Raw genomic sequence first — 21,480 nt, 5'->3', positions numbered from 1 at the left:
GATTTAAAAAAAATCTTTGACTTTCTGATTTTTGTTTAATTTTCCATAGTTTAAAAATGATATTCCTAGCCATAGTTTTTCTGGCATTTATGCTTCTTGGTATTCCTTGAGCCTCCTAGATTTGAAGTTTGATGTCTCATATTAATTTGGGGAAATTTTCAGTTATTGCTTCAAATATTTCTTCTGTTCCTATCTACTTTTCTACTCCTTCTGATATTCCCATTGTATGTATTACATATTTTGGAGTTTTTCCAGAATCCTTGAATATTCTTCTCTGCTTTAATAAGTCTTTGTTTTCTTCGCTTTTCAGTTTTTAAAGTTCCTATTGATATATTCCCCTGCCTAGAGGGTTTGGTGGTCGTTTTCTTCCTCTTAACTTTATTAAGGTATGACTGACACATGAAGTTGTATATATTTATGATGTTTACTGTGATGTTTTGAGATATGTATACATTGTGAAACGATTACCACAATTAAGCCAATTAACACATCCATCACCTCACATAGTTACAACCTTTTGTATGTGTGTGGTGAGAACATTTATGATCTTCTAGTTTAGAAAATTTCAAGTATATAATACAGTATTGTTAACTATAATCACCACGCTATATGCACATTATATAGGTCACATTTTTAAATCCACTTCTCTGTTTTGATGGACCTTTGGGCTAATTCTGTATCTTGGCTATTGAGAATCATGCTGCAATGAACACAAGAGTGCAGATATGTCTTTGAAATACTAATTTTTTTTTTATTTTTCCATAGGTTATTGGGGTACAAGTAGTATTTGGTTACATGAGTAAGTTCTTTAGTGGTGATTTGTGAGATTTTGGTGCACTCATCACCCAAGCAGTATACACTGCACCGTATTTGTAGTCTTTTATCCTTCACCCCCCCTCCCACTCTACACCCCAAGTCCCCTAAGTCCACTGTATCATTCTTATGTATTTGCATCCTTATAGCTTAGCTCCCACATATCAGTGAGAACATACAATGTTTGGTTTTGAAATACTGATTTTATTTCCTTTAGACATATACCCAGAAGTGGGATTACTGAATCATATGGTATTTCTACCTTTATGTTTTTTGAGGAATCTCTATATGTTCCCCATAATGGCTGTACAAATGTAAATTCCCAAAAACAATGTACAAAGGTTCTCTTTTTATATCCTCATTAATACTTGTTATTTTTTGTCTTTTTGATAAAAGCCATTCTAACAGATGTGAAGTGATATCTCGTGGTTGTAGTTTGTATTTCCTTTGATTTAATGATGTTGAACATTAAAAAATACACTTGGCCATTTGTGTGGAAATATCTATTTCATTGAAAAAATGTCTATTTAGATTCTTTCCTCATTTTTAAACTAGGCTATTTGTTTTCTTGCTATTGAGTTTTTAAAAAATGTATATTTTGGATATTAACTCTTTATGAAATATTGTTTTCCCATTTCATAGGTTATCTCTTCATTCTGTTGATGTTTTCTTTTGTTAAATAGGAACTATTTAGTTTGGTAGAATCGTATTTATTTTTGATTTTGTTTCCTGTGCTTTACGTATGATATTTTAAAAATATCATTTCCCAGACCACCATTGAGAAGTTTTTCCCTGTTTTCTTCCAGTAGTTTTAGTTTCAGGTCTTGCCTTTCAGTTTTTAATCCAATTAAATTGATTTTTGCGTATTGTTTGAGACAATGGTTTAATTTCATTCTTCTTTAGGTGGAATATTAAGTTTTTCCAACACAATTTATTGGAGAAACTATTCTTTTCCCATTGTATGTTCTTGGCACCTTTGCCAAAGACCAACTGACCATAAGTACATAGATTTATTTCTGGGCTCTCTATTCTGTTCCATTGTTCTATGTATCTGTTTTTATGCCAGTATCATACTGTTTTGATTACTATAGCTTTGTGGTATATTTTGAGTTCAGGTAGTTGTGCCTCCAGCTTTGTTCTTTTTGCTCAAGATAGCCTTGGCTATTTGGAGTCTTTTGTGGTTCCATAAGAATTTTAGTACTTTTGCTATTTCTGTAAAAAATTCCATTAGAATATTGATAGGGATTGTAAAGAATCTACAGTTTGCTTAGGAAAGTATGAGCATTTTGACAATATGAATTCTTCCAATCCATGAATAAAGAATATCTTTCCATTTATTTGTATCTTTTTCAATTTCTGTCATCCATGCCTTATAGTTTTCAAGGTACAGATCTTTCACCTTCTTGGTTAGATTTATCCCTAAGTATTTTATTTACCTTTGATATTATTGTAAATAGAATTGTTTTCTTGATTTCCTATTCAAATAGATCATTGTTGTAAAAATGCAACTGGCTTTTGTAAGTTAATTTTGTATCCTGTGAACTTAACTAAATTTATTAGTTCTCACAGTTTTTGGTGTAGTCATTAGGGTTTTCTAGATGTAAGATCCAGTCATCTGCAAACAGAAAATTTTACTTCTTCCTTTTTAGTCTGGATGCCTTTTATTTATTTCTTTTGTGTAATTGCTATAGCTAGGAATGTCAGAATTATATTGAAGAGAAATTGTGAAAGTGGGCCTCCTTGACTTGCTCCTGATATCGGAAGAAAAGCTTTTAGCTTTCCAACACTGATAATGAGAATAGCAGTGGACTTGATATACATTATCTTTATTACATTAAGCTATGTTTCTTCTATACCTAATTTGTTGAAAGTTTCTTTTAGTTATGAAAGAATATTGAATTTTATCAAATGCTTCTTCTGCACCTATTATCATATGGTTTTTATCCCTCAGTATGTTAATGTGGCATATCATATTTATTAATTTGTGTATGTTAACCCATTCTTGCATCCTAAGGATGAATCCCACTTAGTCATGGTGTATGATCATTTTAATGTGCTGTTGAATTCATTTTGCTAGTTTTCATTGAGGATTTTTGCATCTATGTTCATCAGGGATATTGGCCTGTAACTGCATTTCCTTATAGTTGCGTTGTCTGGCTTTGGTATTAGGGTAATGCTGACCTCATAAAGTGAGTTTGAAAGTATTTCTTCCTTTTCATATTTTTGAGTGAGTTTAAGAAGATTGGCATTAATTATCCTATAAATGTTTGGTAGTATACATCAATAAAGCCATCAGATCCTGGGCTTTTTTGAATAGGAGACATTTTATTACTGGTCAATCTCAGCCCCAGGCTGGCAGCTTTTGCCGTGGTCTACTGGAACATGAAAAAGTCTGTCTGAGGCTTCCCTGTTGAAGAAGCATATGATAGTCACAAGGAGCAATTAAGGGAGGAGAAAAAGAAATAGAGAGAGAGACTTACTCAGCTCTCAGCTATTCCGTGACCAGACTGAAGTCATTCCAGCAAAGGTCAGAGACATTATGGATCAGAGTCAACCATTCTCTGCTGTGTTTTTCCAAATTTCTTACCCAACAAAGCATGTAACTTAAGTGTTTTAAGCGATTGAATTTTGGGGTCCTAATGTGTTATGCACTAATAGTTAACCAGAACCCCATGTGCTCTTCTACAGTTCACAAACTCTCTGAAGTTTGAATTATGTGGCAGATTCTCACCACCAGAAATGACAGAAAAAACATATTGTATAAAAATATGCATCAAATATATTACTGATAGTGTGGGACAGTTGAGATTAGGAGTTGCCATCTCCACACACACATTGTTGTTTTGTTTTATTATAAACTAAACTGGAATTGAGGGACCAAAGAAGGTGAAGTTAGAAGACAAAAGAAGCATGGAGAGAAGTCAGAATAAAATTGTTTAGATTTACAAAAGTGCATGCAGGGACCTTGAAGGGTCAGTCCACCAGCTTAAAATGCCTTTTCATAGTATTTTCTGTCTATTCTTTAAATATTTATAAATTATAGAATCCACCATTTTTTCAGGGACAGAAGCCATTTATAGGAACTTAAAAAGTGAGGAACATAGCAGTTCATGTCTAGAAATACTTCAATAATTATGACTTCTATGCCTTTGCTTAGTATGAGTTTGGTGCCAAGTAAGAAAAAGAAAATAAAATTTTGATAAAGTCGTCATCTTCCGCAATTAAAGGCTGAGGGAACAATAACATCCTAACGAGATTGAAAGAGTCTTAAGAGCTTTGTTAAATTATCTCCGATTTTTAATATTTTAAGTAATCATTGAGGGTGTGGACAGTTGACTAATAAGAGATATCTGGAGACAGAGGTGCCAAAACTATTTAGATGAACTGTCAGGGTTTTTGTTGTTGTTGTTATTTAGTGATTACAATGTCATTTGCTTTAATTACTTGTCTCCTTGTTTGAAGAATAAGAAATCAAGACCCACCCCTTAAAAATTCTCCTTAACTCATACGTCAGTTAGCATATTCTTTTCCAGTTGAGTAACTATGGCCCTAAAGTAAAATCCTCAAAATATCAAAGCATAATAATTTTATTTATAATATTATAATGCATTAACCTAGAGGGACCAGATAGATAAATAGACCCAAGTATTATCCATATATTTGATATATGGGAAAAACAGGCATATTTCTATACCCAATTTCATCATAAGAACATATAAAAAACCTAACATCAATTTTATCAACTGATATCTTCAAAACATAGTCAGCAGTAGAGTTCCATGGCTAGTATCCCATTCATTCAAATGTCCCTTATATAATCCAGGAAAGCATTGTTAAATACAACTACAGCATATTTTTCCATATATTTTTGTTTTATCCAGTTCCCTCTGTTGTACATTTCTAAATAATTTAAGAAACAATGTAATTACAAACTCATCTTTTTAATTGTTTATTTATGCTTCAGAAGAGTTCTTCAAGATTTCTTTAGGCCAAAGCCACCTTTTCATTGCTCTATTAAAGGCCCCTTTCACTTCCTTGTTCCTCAAAGTGTAGATCAGTGGGTTTAGTACTGGAGTGACCACAGTATACATGATGGCAGTGATCCGGTCCTGGTCCATGGAGGTCCCTGAGGCATGATGAATATAGGTGAAGAGAACAGGTGCATACAAAAGAATAACTACCATCAAGTGGGAGGCACAAGTGGACAGTGCTTTGCGGAGCATGCTAAAAGAATGAGTCTTGAAGAAGAGATGGGTGATAATGTAGAAATAGGAGAGTAATGTGAGAAAGAAGGGGCCCATGGCGATTGTCCCTGTGACAGTACTGAGCAGCCACTGATTAAGCTCAGCTTTAGCAATGGCTTCACATCACAGAAGAAGTGATAGATACGGTTAGAACCACAGAAGTTCAAGCGAGAGGTCATTAGGGAGTGCAGCAGGGCATGGAAAAAACCAATCATCCAGATTGTGATGGCCATCTGGGTACAGAGCTGAGGGTTCATAATGACAGTGTAGCGAAGTGGCTTGCAAATAGCCACAAAGCGGTCAAATGCCATCACGGCCAACAACATGGCCTCTGTGCTGCCCAGGAAGTGGAAGAAATGGAGTTGGCTTATGCATCCCAAGAAAGAAATTGCTTTGTGTGCAGAGAGGAAGTTCTGCAGCATTTTTGGCAGTGTTACGCTGGAGTAGCAGATGTCCAGGCAGGACAGGTTTCCCAAGAAGAAATACATAGGGGAATGGAGTCTAGGATCAGAGATGACAATCATCAGAATGGCTCCATTCCCAGCCACACTGATGAAGTAGATGGTAAGGAAAACAACGAAGAGAAAAGGCTGCAGTTCTTGAATGTCTGTCACTCCCAAAAGGAGAAATTCAGTGACTGAGGTTGTATTCAGCATTGCTTCAGACAAAAGACAAAATAATGTATGGAACACTAATCACAATCAGAATCCTTCCAGCTCAGAATTTTCTTACCAAGCCAAGAATATCTGGAGGGAGAGTATTGTTGTTTTGCATGATTCAACCTCACAAGTTTTACATTTTTGGCTTTTAGATGGCTAAATATTAAAGATATATATATATATATCTGTTATGATCTCTGACACAACTATTTTTTTATTATGTTTTTCATTAATATATTTCTTTCTCCCAGGAATCAGAAAACGTTGCTAGCCTACAGTCTTCTCTGGCTGTGAATATTTTCATTCTTTTTTTTTGAGATTCTCACTCTTTCTCCCAGGCTGAAGTGCAGTGGTGTGATCTTGGCTCACTGCAACCTCCGCCTCCTGGGTTCAAGAGAGTCTCTCGCCTCAGCTTCCCAAGTAACTGGGATTACAGGAGTCCACCACCACACCTGGCTAATTTTTGTATTTTTAATAGAGATGGGGTTTCACCGTGTATGCCAGGCTGGTCTTGAATTCCTGACCTCAAGTTATCTGCCTGCCTCGGCCTCCCAAAGTGCTGCGATTACAGGCATTAGCCACATCTCTGGGCCTGTGAATATCTTCATTCGGTCACAGCTTTCCTTTCATCTTCCCAAGCAGCTCTCACAGGGGGCAATTTTTAAGCATACCACATAGCTATCTCTTGGCCTAGTAAGAAACCACCAGTAGGATGTTAACTTAAATAAAAAGACAGGTTTCAATGCATCAAAACCACGATTTTTTTTTTAAATCTTGAAAGAGTAGTAGTAATTGCATTTCCTCATTTTAGAATGTAAATGAATTAGAGATATTCTCTTACTGATCTCTTCCTGACCCACATCCCTGAAATGTCGCAGTGACCTACTGGGGTAAGAAACATGACCACATTAATCACATATTAACCTGAATATTTAAAATTTCATCACTATTATATCTGATGATGAGCTCAGTTTCTTCCTATAATCTGACCCTTTATACATTTTTTGAAATAGAATCCCAAATTATTTTTTTCATTGCAAATGTTATTGTGCTTTTATTCACCAGTTGATCTTAGACTCTTTCTTTCCTAGGAAATCTGTGAATCCCTGGATAAGAATAGTATTTCCTCTGATAGATTCAGTAGTTTCTCTTCTTTTTTCACCAATACTAACCTCTCCTCAAAATATATATTCAGCCTTCTTGAAATTGTCTTCTCTTGTGATCTATTTTCTTAAGTTCTGTTTTTATTTTGCCTGAAATAAACTCACTCATCAGATATTAAGGAATATTCTACCTCAAGTGAAATTCACCTTCTTCTCTTCTAGATCCATTACATTTTCTAGAAAAATTTTTTCTCCATAATTTGCAAAGTACTGGTATTATCTTCATTAGGTTTACTAATAAAAGCAGACATAATATTGTGAAGTAGCTTCTTCTTTGTTCTTTTCATTAGGCTGTAATGGATTAGCTCTTGTATATTGGGAGGGAAGAAGTCAGGATGTGTGGGGAACTTACAGAAGTGAGAGGCACTGAGAGAGCTAGTAGAACTGTAAAGAAATTGAAAAGAGATGCTGACATTGGAGTGCTTCCTATAAAAGGAGTATCATTCAAGGTTTTAGAAACCACTGAGGAGAAAAGAATATAATTTGATGTGACTAGGGTAAAAAAAAATAATGAACAAGGGAACACTTCTAGAGAGCCCATGGGTTTTTTGGCTTCATAGCTGGGAAGAAGTTTTGAAAAACAATCTAACTTTTACTATACCTCCATGAAGGACTGCCTTCAAATAATTCACAATAACTTTCTTGAATGACCATGTATATTTTGTATATTTAAAAATTACCACTCCTGTTTAAAATACAAATTATATTTCAAATATAATTTTTGGTTCTTGGACCCAGAAAACAAAATTGTCCCAAAAATCCATATGGTAAAACATATATTCCTAGCTTCTGAGAAAATTAGCAGTCAGAGTGGTCTGTAGTAAATCGTTTCCTTCACTGAAATTTCACCATTTAGAAATCACATGTTTGCTTTGGATAATGTCTAGAGAACTAGATATGTTGAATTGAGAACAAGGTATGGCAATAAAAACATGGTAAGTCAAGGGCCTTCATATCTCACAAACACAATGAGGAGTCCACCATTAGATAGAAAATGAGATCTAGATACTGGGTGTTTAATACTAGCAAGTAGATAGATCATTCATTAACATATTGAGATTATGTGTAACTTCACAGCCTGTCTCCTAGTTCATTCTCTTACCTGATTGAGTGTTCTGATTCACAGTTAAGGAAGCTATTCATGTTTATATTCCCAGTGATTATAAAAGTTAAAACATATTTGAAGTAATAGTTCATGTTGGGATTGCAGCATAAACTCATCTTTAAAAACCTCTTTCTCTCTTTCTGAAAAATCAGTCTGCCTTTTAATGAGCCACAGGTCTCTAGACATAGAAATCCAAAGGGAGAGTGTCCCCTGGTGTTGAGAAAGATTTTAGGAATTAGCAGGATGCCTTTCCACACCTGTAATATGAATCAGTGGCCTTGGGGAATTCCTGTGTGAAGTTTCATTTGTTTTTTTCATTCTTGTTTTTTTTTTTTCCTTACTAAGTTTGTTCCTTAGTTTTAGAACTATGGCCAACACAGGTCTCAATGGCTTAATATGTTTTCTTAGTCAAATTTCTTTTTATTTCCTAGGACAGAGATATGGATTTACTTTCCCATTTTTGGGACTTTCCTGAAAGAATACCCTGGTATTTTTCAGGAAACCTGTTTTGGCTACTGTTGCTCTGTAGTATAGCTTGAAGTAGGGTAACATGATGCCTCCAAATTTGTTCTTTTTGCTTAGAATTGCTTGGCTATTCAGGTTCTTTTTTGGTTTCACATGAATTTTAAAGTGTTTTTCTAGAATAAACTAGTTTATTCTAGTATTCTAAACTTTAGTTTAGAAACTACCAAGAATGTCTTTGGTAGTTTGATAGAAATAGCATTGAATCTGTAAATTGCTTTGGGCAGTATGGCCATTTAAACAATATGATTCTTACTACCCATGAACAAGAAATCTGTTTCCATTTGTTTGTATTATCTCTGATTTCTCTGAGTAGTGTTTTGTAGTTCTTATTGTAGAGACCTTTCACCTGCCTTGTTAGCTGCATTTCTTGGTATTATATTCTTTCTTTGGCAATTGTGAATGGGATTGTGTTCCTGATTTGTCTCTCAGCTTGACTGTTGTTGCTGTATAGGAATGCTAGTGACTTTTGTACATTGATTTTGTATCCAGAAACTTTGCTGAAATAGTGTATCAGCTGAAGGAGCTTTTTGACCAAGACTATGGGGTTTTCTAGATATAGAATCATGTCATCTGCAAACAGGAATAGTTTTACTTACTCTCTTCCTATAATGCCCATTATTTCTTTCTCTTGCCTAATTGCTCTAGCCAGGACTTCCAATGCTATGTTGAATAGGAGTGCTGAGAGAGGACATCCTTGTCTTGTGCTGGTTTTCCAGAGGAATGCTTCCAGCTTTTGTCTATTCAGTATGATGTTGGCTTTGGATTTGTCATAAATGGCTCCTACTATTTTGAGGTATTTTCCTTAATACCTAGTTTATTGAGAATTTTTAATATGAAGCAATGTTGAACTTAATTGGAAGCCTCTTCTGTTATCTATTGAGATAATCATGTGAGTTTTGTTTTTAGTTCTGTTTATGTGATGAATCACATTTATTAATTTGCAAATGTTGAACCAACCTTGTATCCCAGGGATAAAGCCTACTTAATCATTTTGTATTAGCTTTTTGATGTGCTGCTGAATTCAGTTTGCTAGCATTTTGTTGAGAATTTTTGCATCTATGTTCATTAAGAATATTGGCCTGAAGTTTTCCTTTCATGTATGTGTTTCTTTCAGGTTTTTGTATCAGGATGATGCTGGCCTCATAGAATGAGTTGGGGAGGAGTCACTCCCCCTTTGTTTGGTAGGCTATTTATTACTGATTCAATTTCAGAGCTCGTTATTGGTTTCTTCACAGAATCAGTTTCTTCTTGGTTCAGACGTGGGAGGATGTATGTGTATAGAAATTTATCCATCTCATCGAGGTTTTCTAGTTCATGTGCATATGTGTTCATGATTCATCATGTCTCTGATGATTATTTGTATTGTTGTGGGGTCAATGGTAGCATCCCATTTGTCATTTCTGATTGTGTTTATTTGGATCATCTCTCTTTCCTTCTTTATTGATCTAGCTAGGAGTCTATTCATCTTATTAATTCTCCCAAAAAACAAACTCCTGGATTCGTTTATCTTTTGTATGGTTTTTCTCATCTCAATTTCTTTCAGATCAGCTCTAATTTTGGTTATTTCTTGTCTTCTGCTAGCTTTTGGGTTGGTTTTGTCTTCTGTCTCTAGTTCTTTTACTTATGATGTTAGGTTGTTAATTTGAGATCTTCGTATCTTTTTGATGTGGGCATTTAGTGCTACAAATTTCCCCCTTAATGCTGCCTTAGCTGTGCCCCAGAGATTCTGGTATGTTGTATCTTCATTCTCAATAGTTTCAAAGAACATTTTGATTTCTGCACTAATTTCAGTACTTACCTCAAATTCATTAAAGAGTAAGTTGTTTAATTTCCATGTAATTGCATGGATTGAGTGATTTTTTTAGTCTTGATTTCTATTTTTATTGAGCTGTTGTCCACCAATGTGTTTGGTATGATTTCAGTTCTTTTGCATTTGCTGAGGATTGTTTTATGTCCAATTGTGGGGTCTATTTTTAGAGTACGTGCCTGTGTTGATGAGAAGAATGCACATTCTGTTGTTTTGGGGTGGAGAGTTCTGAGGTCTATCAGATCTATTTGATCCAATGTTGAGTTCAATCTTTGTTTAAATCTTTGTTAATTTTCTGCCTTGATGATCTGTCTAGTACTGTCAGGGGAGTGTTGAAATACCCTACTGGAGACTCCCATTGTGTGGGCATCTAAGTCTCTTTGTAGGTCTCTAAGAACTTGCTTTATGAATCTGGATTCTCCTGCTGTGGGTGCATATATATTTAGGATATCTAGATCTTCCTGTTGAATTGAATCCTTTATCATTAGATAATGCCCTTCCTTGTCTTTTTTCGTTTTTGTTAGTTTAAAGTCTGTTTTTCTCTGAAATTAGAATTGCAACCTCTTCTTATTTCTGATTTTCATTTACTTGGCAGATTTTTTCCATCCCTTTATTTTGAGCCTATGGGTGTCATTGCATGTGAGATGGGTTTCCTGAAGACAGCATACAATTGGATTTTGCTTCTTTACCCAGCTTGCCACTCTGTGCCTTCTAATTGGGACATTTAGCCTGTTTACTTTCAATGTTTGTATTGATATATGTAGATTTAATCCTGTCTTTTTGTTGTTAGCTGGTTATTATGCCTGCTTGTTTGTCTGGTTGCTTTATAGTGTCACGGGTCTGTGTACTTAAATGTGTTTTTGTATTGGCTGGTAATGGTGTTTTCTTTTCATATTTAGTACTCCTTTCAAGATCTCTTGTAAGGTGGGTCTAGTAATACAATCCCTCAATGTTTACTTGTCTGAAAAGATCTTATTTCTCCTTCACAGAGAAAGCTTAGTTTGGCTGGATATAAAATTCTTGGTTAAAGAAATTTTTCTTTAAGAATATCGAATATAGACCTGCAATCTCTTCTGGCTTTCAACATTTCTGCTGAGAGGTCCACTGTTAGCCTCATACGGTTCCCTTTGTAGGTGACCTGCCCTTTCTGTCAAGCTGCCTTTTACATTCTTTCTTTCATTTTGTCCTTGGAAAATAAGATGATTTTGTGTGTTGGGGATGATCTTCTTGTCTAGAATCTTGCAGAGGTTTTCTGTATTTCCTGCATTTGACTATTGGCCTCTCTAGCAAGATTGGGGAAGTTTTCATGGTTGATATCCTGAAATATGTTTTCCAAGTTGTTTGCTTTCTCCCCCTCTCTTGCAGGGATACCAGTGATTTGTAGATTTGGCCTCTTTACATAATCTCATATTTCACAGAGGTTTTGTTCATTCCTTTTCCTTTTATTCTTTATTTTTGTCTGACTCTCTTATTTCAGAGAGCCTGTCTTCAAATTCTCAGATTCTTTCCTCAGCTTTGTCTACTCTGCTATTAATATTTGTGATTGCATTGAAAAATTATTTTAGTGAGTTTTTCAGCTCTATCAGGTCAGTTAGGTTGTTTTTATACTGGCTGTTTTGTCTGTCACCTCTTGTATCGTTTTATTGTGATTCTTAGCTTCCTGGGATTGGGTTTTGCCATTCTCCTGAATCTCAATTATCTTCATTCCTATCCATATTCTGAATTCTATTTGTTATTTCAGCCATCTCAGTCTGCTTAAGAATTCTTGTTGAAGAACTAGAGTGATCATTTGGAGGACATAAGACACTCTGACCATTTGAGTTGCCAGAGTTCTTTTTTTTTTTTTCTCATCTCTGTGTGTGAGTGTTCCTTTAACTGCAGAACTGCCTCTGATTGAAGTGGTCAGGTGGCAGCTGGGTGATTGTGCTGGAGTCCCAGGTCATGTGGCCTTGCCCAGTGAGGAGAAGTGAGGATCAGGATCTGCATGGAGAACAGTTCAGCCACTTTTCTATGATGTGGATGCTCTGTGTTATGGGTCCCAACCAGCCCTTGGTCCCACAGACTCTCCAGGGCCTGGGGACACAAGGATGAAGACTGTGAGAAAGCAAAGATGACAACCCACCCCTTCCATTGGGAGCTTTGTCCCAGGGCATTGCAGAACTGCTACTGGCTCAATAGTCCCAGTGTAAGGGTGACTGGAGACTAGGCTGGGAGGATCTGCCCCAGGAGAAGATACAGGATTGGGGACCCACATAACATACAGTCTGACCACTTTTCCATAGAGCTGCTACCATATTCTGGGGATCTGCTCCAGTCCCTAGTCACTTCAGATTTTCCAGTACCTGATGGTATCAACAGTGAAGTTTGTCAAACAGCAAAGATGGCGGCCTGCGCCTCCCTCTGGGAGCTCTGCTCCAGGAAGGAATGGACCTGTTACCAGCCCAAACACACTGGCAGGGTTGGCTGGGGATCCCAGAAGTTCCCACTCAGTGAGGAAAAACAGGATCAGGAGGTGCATTAAAAAGCAGTCTGGCCACTTTTTCATAGAGCAGCTATGCTGTCTTTGGGGTCTACTCCAGCCCCCAGTTGCTTCCAGCTCTCCAAAGCCCAAAAGTGACAATGGCTAAGCCTGCAAAACAGTAAAGATGGAGGCCTACCCCTCCTCTGGGAGCTCTGCTAGGGAGGTTTGGGATTGCTACTGGCCGGAAAACACCAGCAGAAGTGGTTGTAGACCTCGGTCAGGGGATTCCTCCCAGTAAACAGAAATGGGATCTGAGACCCACATGAAAAAGTGGTCTGGCCATCTCTTTGTAGAGCTGCTATGTTGTGCTGGGGTACCACTCCAGTCCCTAGTCACCTCAGATTCCCCAGAGCCTGAAGGCACCAATGGTTAAGGCTATGAAACAGCAAAGAAGGCAGCCCAAGCCTCCCTCTGAGATCTCCATCTCAGGGAGGTATAATGTTGCTACCCATGGCAGCCTAGAGTTCAAAGCTATTGGGTCTTATCCTGTGATGTTCCATGGAAATGGGGCTTGCAGATAGTCATTGCTCAGCCCCGTGGATTTAGACCGTTTTCTAGGGGTATATATGGGGGGGGGTGTCTAACCTCCCAGTTTGCCAGAGTTGCAGTTACTTTTGCTGGGAAGCCTGGGTATCTTAAGCTCCTGTGGCTTCCAGTGTGCCTGAGTGGATGCTCTGACGAGACTCCACATAGCTTTGCATGTCAGACTGAAGGCCCTGGTGGAGTGAGTTCATGAGGGATCTCCTGACCTGAGGGTTGCAAAGTTCTGTGGGAAAAGTATGGGTTCCCAAGGTCGCTCACTCACTCACCACTTCTCTGGGCAGGGGAGGCTACCCTGGCTACATGTCATTCCCAAGTGGGTGGTTCTCCTGCCTTGCTTTTCTCTGTTCTCTGTGGGTTGGGTTGTTTTCTTGATGAATCCCAATGCACGTACCCAGTTCAGTTGAAGATACTGTATTTACTTGCCTCTTCTATTTTGCTCTGTGACAGCGGTGCACAATAGGTGCTTCTCGTTGGCCATCTTGGCCAGCCCTCAACTTCTTGTTATTTTATACACTGTGAATATAATACAAATGAATACTATTTATTGCATGCTTATTATGTGTAAGGTATTGTTCTAAGTTCTTTACATCTATTAGCTCTCTTAATTCTCACAAAAACCCAATGAAGTAAGTAATACAGTCATTTATCTTATATCACAAGAAAACTGAGGCTCAAAGGATTTAAGTAAATTTTTCTTCTTGTGATATATTGTGAAACCAGGACTCAAACTGAGGCTCCTTAGTTCTAGTGATCACTGTATTGTGCTCTTTCAAATATTATTCATCTTAATTTTATCTACAATTTTCTTAGTTGACTAGCCATTCGCTATTTTAATGAAGTCATGATCAGCAATTTTCTTCTTTATGTATTGTCTCTTTGTGATTGTACATATTATTTGTTTTAAATTTTCTTTTATTACAAAGGAAGCTTCATGGGCCTGCGACCCATGCAGTCACAAAGGACCCTGCACTCAGAAGGGCCCTATGTTTGATTTAATGCTTTGTGGTCACTGTCTTGAAACTCTTAGTAATTTTTTTTAACTTCCTTTTTTTTATTATTATACTTTAAGTTCTGGGGTACCTGTGCAGAACGTGCAGGTTTGTTACATAGGTATACATGTACCATGGTGGTTTGCTGCACCCATCAACCCGTCATCTACATTAGGTATTTCTCCTAATGCTACCCCTTCCCTACCCTCCCACCCCCTGACAGGCCCTGGGGTGTGATGTTCCCCTCCCTGTGTGCATGTGTTCTCACTGTTCAACTCCCACCTATGAGTGAGAACAAGCGGTTCTCTGTTTTGGTTTTCTGTTCTTGTGATAGTTTGCTGAGAATGATGCTTTCCAGTGTCATCCATGTCCCTGCAAAGGACATGAACTCATCCCTTTTTATGGCTGCATAGTATTCCATGGTGTATACGTGCCATATTTTCTTTATCCAGTTTATCATTGATGGGCATTTGGGTAGGTTCCAAGTCAATGCTATTGTGAACAGTGCTGCTATAGACATACATGTGTGTGTCTTTATAGTAGAATGATACATAATCCTTTGGGTATATACCCAGTAATGGGACTGCTGGGTCAAATGATATTTCTAGTTCTAGATCCTTGAGGAATCGCCACACTGTTTTCCACAATGGTTGAACTAATTTACGCTCCCACCAACAGTGTAAAAGTGTTCCTATTTCTCCATGTCCTTTCCAGCATCTGTTGTTTCCTGACTTTTTAATGATCACCATTCTAACTGGCGTGAGATGGTATCTCATTTTGGTTTTGATTTTCATTTCTCTAATGACCAGTGATAATGAGCTTTTTTTCATATGTTTGTTGGCTGCATAAATGTCTTCTTTTGAGAAGTTTCTGTTCATATCCTTTGCTCACTTTTTGATGGGGTTGCTTTTTTCTTGTAAATTTGTTTAAGTTCTTTGTAGATTCTAGATATTAGCCTTTTGTCAGATGGATAGATTGCAAAAATTTTCTCTCATTCTGTAGGTTGCCTGTTCACTCTGCTGATAGTTTTTTTTTGCTGTGCAGAAGTTCTTTAGTTTAATTAGATCCCATTTGTCTATTTTGGCTTTTGTTGCCATTGCTTTTGGTGTTTTAGTCATGAAGTCTTTGCCCAAGCCTATGACCTGAATGGTATTGCCTAGGTTTTCTTCTAGGGTTTCTATGGTTTTAGGTCTTATGTTTAAGTCTTTAATCCATCTTGAGTTAATTTTTGTATAAGGTGTAAGGAAGGGATCGTGTTTCAGCTTTCTACATCTGGCTAGCCAGTTTTCCCAACACCATTTATTAAATAGGGAATCATTTCCCCATTGCCTGTTTTTGTCAGGTTTGTCAAAGATCAGTTGGTTGTAGATGTGTGGTGTTATTTCTGAGGCCTCTGTTCTGTTCCGTTGGTCTATATATCTGTTTTGGTACCAGTATCATGCTGTTTTGGTTACTGTAGCCTTGTAGTATAGTTTGAAGTCAGGTAGTGTGATGCTTCCAGCTTTGTTCTTTCTGCTTAGGATTGTCTTGGCTATGCAGGCTCTTTTTTGGTTCCATTTGAAATTTAAAGTTGTTTTTTCTGATTCTGTGAAGAAAGTCAATGGTAGCTTGATGGGGATAGCATTGAATCTATAAATTACTTTGGGCAGTGTGGCCATTTTCACGATATTGATTATTCCTATGCATGAGCATGGAATGTTTTTCTGTTTGTTTGTGTCCTCTCTTATTTCCTTGAGCATTGGTTTGCAGTTCTCCTTGAAGAAGTCCTTCATATCACTTGTAAGTTGTATTCCTAGGTATTTTATTCTCTTTGTAGCAATTGTGAATGAGCGTTCACTCATGATGTGGCTCTCTGTTTGTCTGTTGTTGGTGTATAGGAATGCTTGCGATTTTTGCAAATTGATTTTGTATCCTGAGACTTTGCTGAAGTTGCTTATCAGCTTAAGGAGATTTTGGGCTGAGATGATGGGATTTTCTAAATATACGATCATGTCATCTGCAAACAGAGACAATTTGACTTCCTCTTTTCCTAATTGAATACTCTTTATTTCTTTCTCTTGCCTGATTGCAGGAAATACGTTGTGAACTTCCCAGCACATCTGTTAGAAAGGAGGTCCAGAAAAAGAGCACAAAGAGAATGGTCTGTATTTAAAGATGTAACAGCTGAGAAAGCACAGTGTAATTTTCAAGAAAATGACTGTAGCCATTCTGCTTGGGCTTACATCTATCATTGCTAATCACTGTCGGAAAAACTTTGGGCAAATGACTTAACATTTCTGTTCCTGTATTTCTTCATCTGTAAAATAAGAATAAAGGTTGTTACGATGATTAAATGAGCTAATATGTATAAAGTACTTAGAATAGGGTCTGACACATACAATGCACCATGTATGTTTTTGCTAGGTAAAAACAAATACATTAATCTTCAGACGGGACTATCAAAATGAGTCTCAAGTCAATGTGGTAGCTAGTCTAGACACATGGATGCCAAGTGAACCATGCCTCTCAGCATTGATGCCCTGTGTGGTTCATTTTTCTTGAACCTGGGCTGGCACAGTGACTTCACCAATAGAATGCAACAAAAATGATGTTCTGGAACTTCGAAGGTACGTTAAAAGAAACCTTACAACTTCTTAATAGATCTCCTGAAACAGTCACTCTTGGGATGCTCCCAAGAAACAAGAATGCATTTGCCATATCAATGGACAAAAACCATTTACCTGAAGCCCTGTTAACTTGTTCTAGCAATGATACCATGTCTGACATGACAGCTGTGATCAAGACTACTAGTCTGCAGCTATTCAGGATTTATCTGTTTTTTGCAAGTGATCTTTCAGTCTTTAGATATTTAAGGGGGCACTAATCTTGGCTATCCTTCCCAGGATGTGATATTGTTGTTAGTTTAATATCCTTGCCAGATGGGGCAGTTTCAAAGCTTCCAGTTGGCATTATCCAGTACGATAGCGCATTTCCCACTGGCCAAGGACTGATGTAGAGGCTTCTCTTACTGCCAAGTATATCAGTCCTAATCGTATAGCCAGTGACTGTGGGAACGACTATTGGATGTGCCTACAGTACTGGGTGACGTACTGTAAGCTAAACTTTAACATGACTCCATTCGTAATCTGGCTTCTGTATGCTCATTGTAACATTTGGGCCATGGTGATGCTTTGGCTCTTGGAGTATCGGTGTCAACTCAGACAACTGTACTTGAAATATTTGGGTATTCCCCCTTTCCCAGTGTGCAGTAATTTGCATAAATAATGTTAGCTCCCTCTCGGGAAAAACTATAGGTGTCTTTCCAGTAAATGCTTACCACAATGTTGAAGTTCACTTCTTTCTGGAGGACATGACTAAATGTTCAGGTAATAAGTTATGCACCTAAATATTAGCTTGCGTCTGTGAACTGAGCAGGAAATTAGGCCATTTTATTAGAGAGACCACCCTCAGTGTCCTGTTCCTCTACTCTTGCCTTCTTTTGATTGTAGTTTTTAAGCAGCAACCTCATCAGCTGTCCTGTAATTTCGTCTTTAGGGACACATGTTATATTAACCATCACCACAGCTTCCTGTAGGTCAAGACTACTTGGCTACCTTTTTGACTCACTGATGATTACAGCAATTGCCAACTACTAGCTTCCAGTGGTTCAATGCTACCATATATTTTTATTGCTGTAGGCCCCTTTTCTCCAGCAATTCAAACTCTGTGATTACTTCTGTAACCATTATCCCTGGTCTACAAAGAGTCACCACTGAATTTCTTAGTAATTCCAGAACGCCTCTGCCAGAGCATTCTGAATTGTGAATGGTGTGTCTCCTCTGAGTACTCTTGTGGAACATAATATTCTGGTGGCTTTTCTGACCTACATATAGTATATTCTTCCAATACCCCCACTTTCCTGAGTCTCTTTATTCCTTTCCATACCATCTGTCAGGGCAACTCAGTAATTTTAACTTTGATCATCATGGGCCAATGCCTTCCCTGTGCTTGTAAGAGCCACACTAGCAGCACATTTACTTAAGCCCCAGATTCCGTGTCTAAGAACTCAATGTCCCCTAGTTAATATATTCTCATTTATCCAGTTTAGTGTTCTAGTCCCTTGATCATGCACACTCAAAATTCAATCCCATGGTACTCCTGCTGGCACATTGTAACTACTATTTGCACTCCTGTCAGTTTAATCTCTTTTCTATTTTAACATCTCTAGCACAACCCTAATTAATTTATGGGGATTTAACTCTAATTGTTGGCCTGGCGGTCAAGAGAGACATCCACTATCTATAGTAATATGTAGTACAGTAGACATGTACTATCCACAGTAACAAAGAAGATAGAAAGGATATCTATTGAACCCAGATGTTGCTAAGGTGCTTACTAGGAAGAATGATTGTAGTAGTCAGGGTTCTTCTGAGAAACAGAGTCAACAGAATATTGATTGGATGATGGCCACCTACATTAGGGAGGATAATCTGCTTTACTCAATCTATCAATTCAAATGTTAGTCTCATCTAAAAACATCCTCACTGACACATCCAGAAAACTGCTCAATTAAATAAAGTGTGGACATCCTCAGTCAAGCTGACATAAAAACCATCAAAATAGTGAAAGTTCCAACAGATTCTTTTAGCTGACTATTACAAAATAGGGCAGACGTAAGATGAACTAAAAAACAAGGCATTCAATTTTCAATCAGTATTTAGAGGAAAACTAGATTCCAGGACTTCCTAGGATCAAAAAATTAAACTGTATATTAGTGCTAAATAGTCTAGATGGTAGAAGTTTCTCAAAGTAAGAAATGGCTTCAGGGCAAAGATCATATTCCAAGGTGCTGTTAGTGAAGTATGGTTTTTAGGTAAAGATCCCAAGGATGTGACTATAATACCCATTGTTGAAAGCTCAGAAAGATAATGGGGAAGCCTAGAATAGTTTCTAAAAATCTTAAGACAGGCCTCTTAAGCCCTCTATGTTAGACACAGAGGTCACTACGAGTCTTATGGACATGCCTTGTCAACATTTCCAGCTAGAGGCAAAAATGTTTCCAGAAATCTTATTTTAGCTTTATTGAGGTACAATTGACATAAAAAAATTATATGTCTTTAATGTATACATCGTGATGAGTTTGGGCATATGTACACATACTATCATCACCACAACCAGGGTAGTAAGCATATCCACCACCTCCAAAAATGTCCTCATGCTCTTTTGTGTTGTTTTTGTTTCTGTAAAAGCACTTATCATGAGATCTATAGTCTTGTTAACATATTTTAAAGTGCAAAATACTATTTTCTAGTTATAGGTAATATGTTGTACTGCAGATCTCTAGATCTTATTTATCTTGCATAACAGGAACTTTATACCATACCCACTGATAAACAATTCCCCATCTCCCCCTCTACACATTCCTTTACAATCACCATTCTATTTTGTATTTCTATGAGGTTGACTTAAGCATGGCCATGCAACATTTGTCCTTTTGAGACTGTCTTATTTTACTTATCATGATATCCTCTAGGTTTGTCCATATTGTAATAATTGGCAGGATCTCCTTCTTTTAAAGGTTAAATAATATTCATGTATATATTCATTTTCTTTATCCATTCATCTGCCAATGAATACTTGGGTTGTTTTTGTATTTTGTCTACTGTAAAAAATTTCAAAATAAACAGAGTGTTGCACATATTTCTTCAAGGCCCTGATTTCAATTCTCTTGGCTATACACCCAGAAGAGAAATTGCTGGATCAGATTGTAGATTTATTTTTAATTTTTAAAGGAATTTTCATACCATTTTGCATAGTGGCTGCAATTTCTATATTCAGTGTATAAGGGATCCAGTTTCTCCACATTCACACCAACACTTTTTTTTTTTATAATAACCATCCTAAAATATGTTAAGTGATATCTGACTATGGTTGCCTTTTTCTGATGGTTAGTGGTATTGAGTACGTTTTTATATACTTGTTGGCCATTTATATGTCTTCTTTAAAGAAATACCTATTCAATTATTTTGTCAATTTTAAGTTGTGTGTGTGTGTGTATATATTATTGAGTTGAGAAGATTATTATGTATTTTAGATATTAACCCCTATCAGATAGATGGTTTGAAATATTTTCTCCCGCTTCATAGGATGACTTTTCACTCTGTTGATCATTTCCTTTGTTGTGAAGAAGCTTTTTAGCTTTACATAGTCCTGCTTGTCTATTTTTTATTTTGTTGTTTCAAATCTAGAAAATCATTGTCAAGACCAACATCAAGAAGTTATCTCCTTATTCTTTTTCTTCTAGGAGTTTTACATTTAAATCTTTAATCCATTTTGAGTTGATTTTGTATATAGTATGAGATAGGGTCCAATTTCATTCTTCTCTATGTAGTTTATTCTACACCATCTATTGAAGGGACTATTCTTTCTCCATTGTGTGTTCTCAGCAATCTTGTCCAAGATCAGTTTACTATATATATGTGCATTTATTTCTGGACTCTCCATTCTGTTCTATTGGCTTGTATGTCTGTCTTTATCTCAGTACTATACTATTTTAATTAAATGGAAGGCATTCAAATTGAATATAAAATTAACATACAAAATCAATTGCATTCCTATACATTAACAATCTAGCTTTTCTGAGCTATCAGAAAAGGAAGAACCAAAACAATTTCATTTAAAATAGCATAAAAAAGAATAAAATGCTTAGCAATAAACTTAACCAAGGAAGTGAATGACTTGTACACTGGCAACTGTAAAAACATTGATGAAAGGAATTGAAGAAGACTCAAATAAATAGAAACATAACCTATGTTCAGGGCTTAGAAGAATTAAAATTGTAAAATGTCCACACTACCATAACTTGTCTATGAATTCAATGCAATCACTATCAAAATCCCAAAAGCATTTTTTACAGAAATGGAAAAAACTATTCAAGAAAGACCTCAAATAGCCCAAGTGATCTTCAGAAAGAATAGCAAAGCAGATGGTATCACTCTTCTTGACTTCCCAAGATGTTGCAAAGGTACAGTAAATAAAACAGTATTCTACTGGCATGAAGACAGACAGAGAGAAATCTCAAGGGTGTTGTCTCACAGTACACTAATTGTCAGCCCAAGTCAGAGAAAGGCCT

The 21,480-nt window shown here is 36.8% G+C and overlaps 1 pseudogene across 1 annotated transcript; it reads right to left on the bottom strand.

Annotated features, from left to right (window-relative positions):
- Positions 1–4,596: 4,596 nt before the first annotated feature.
- On the bottom strand, positions 4,597–5,928 carry OR12D1 (olfactory receptor family 12 subfamily D member 1 (gene/pseudogene); annotated as a pseudogene). Its single transcript, NR_145489.1, has one exon. The product of NR_145489.1 is annotated as an olfactory receptor family 12 subfamily D member 1 (gene/pseudogene), transcript variant 1, noncoding (transcript).
- Between the last annotated feature and the right edge of the window lie 15,552 nt (positions 5,929–21,480).

The sequence above is a fragment of the Homo sapiens genome, chromosome 6, assembly GCF_000001405.40.
Source record: "Homo sapiens chromosome 6, GRCh38.p14 Primary Assembly".
NCBI lineage: Eukaryota > Metazoa > Chordata > Mammalia > Primates > Hominidae > Homo > Homo sapiens.
The sequence above is the reverse complement of the archived record's forward strand: the minus strand, read 5'-3'. Positions and strand labels throughout refer to the sequence as shown.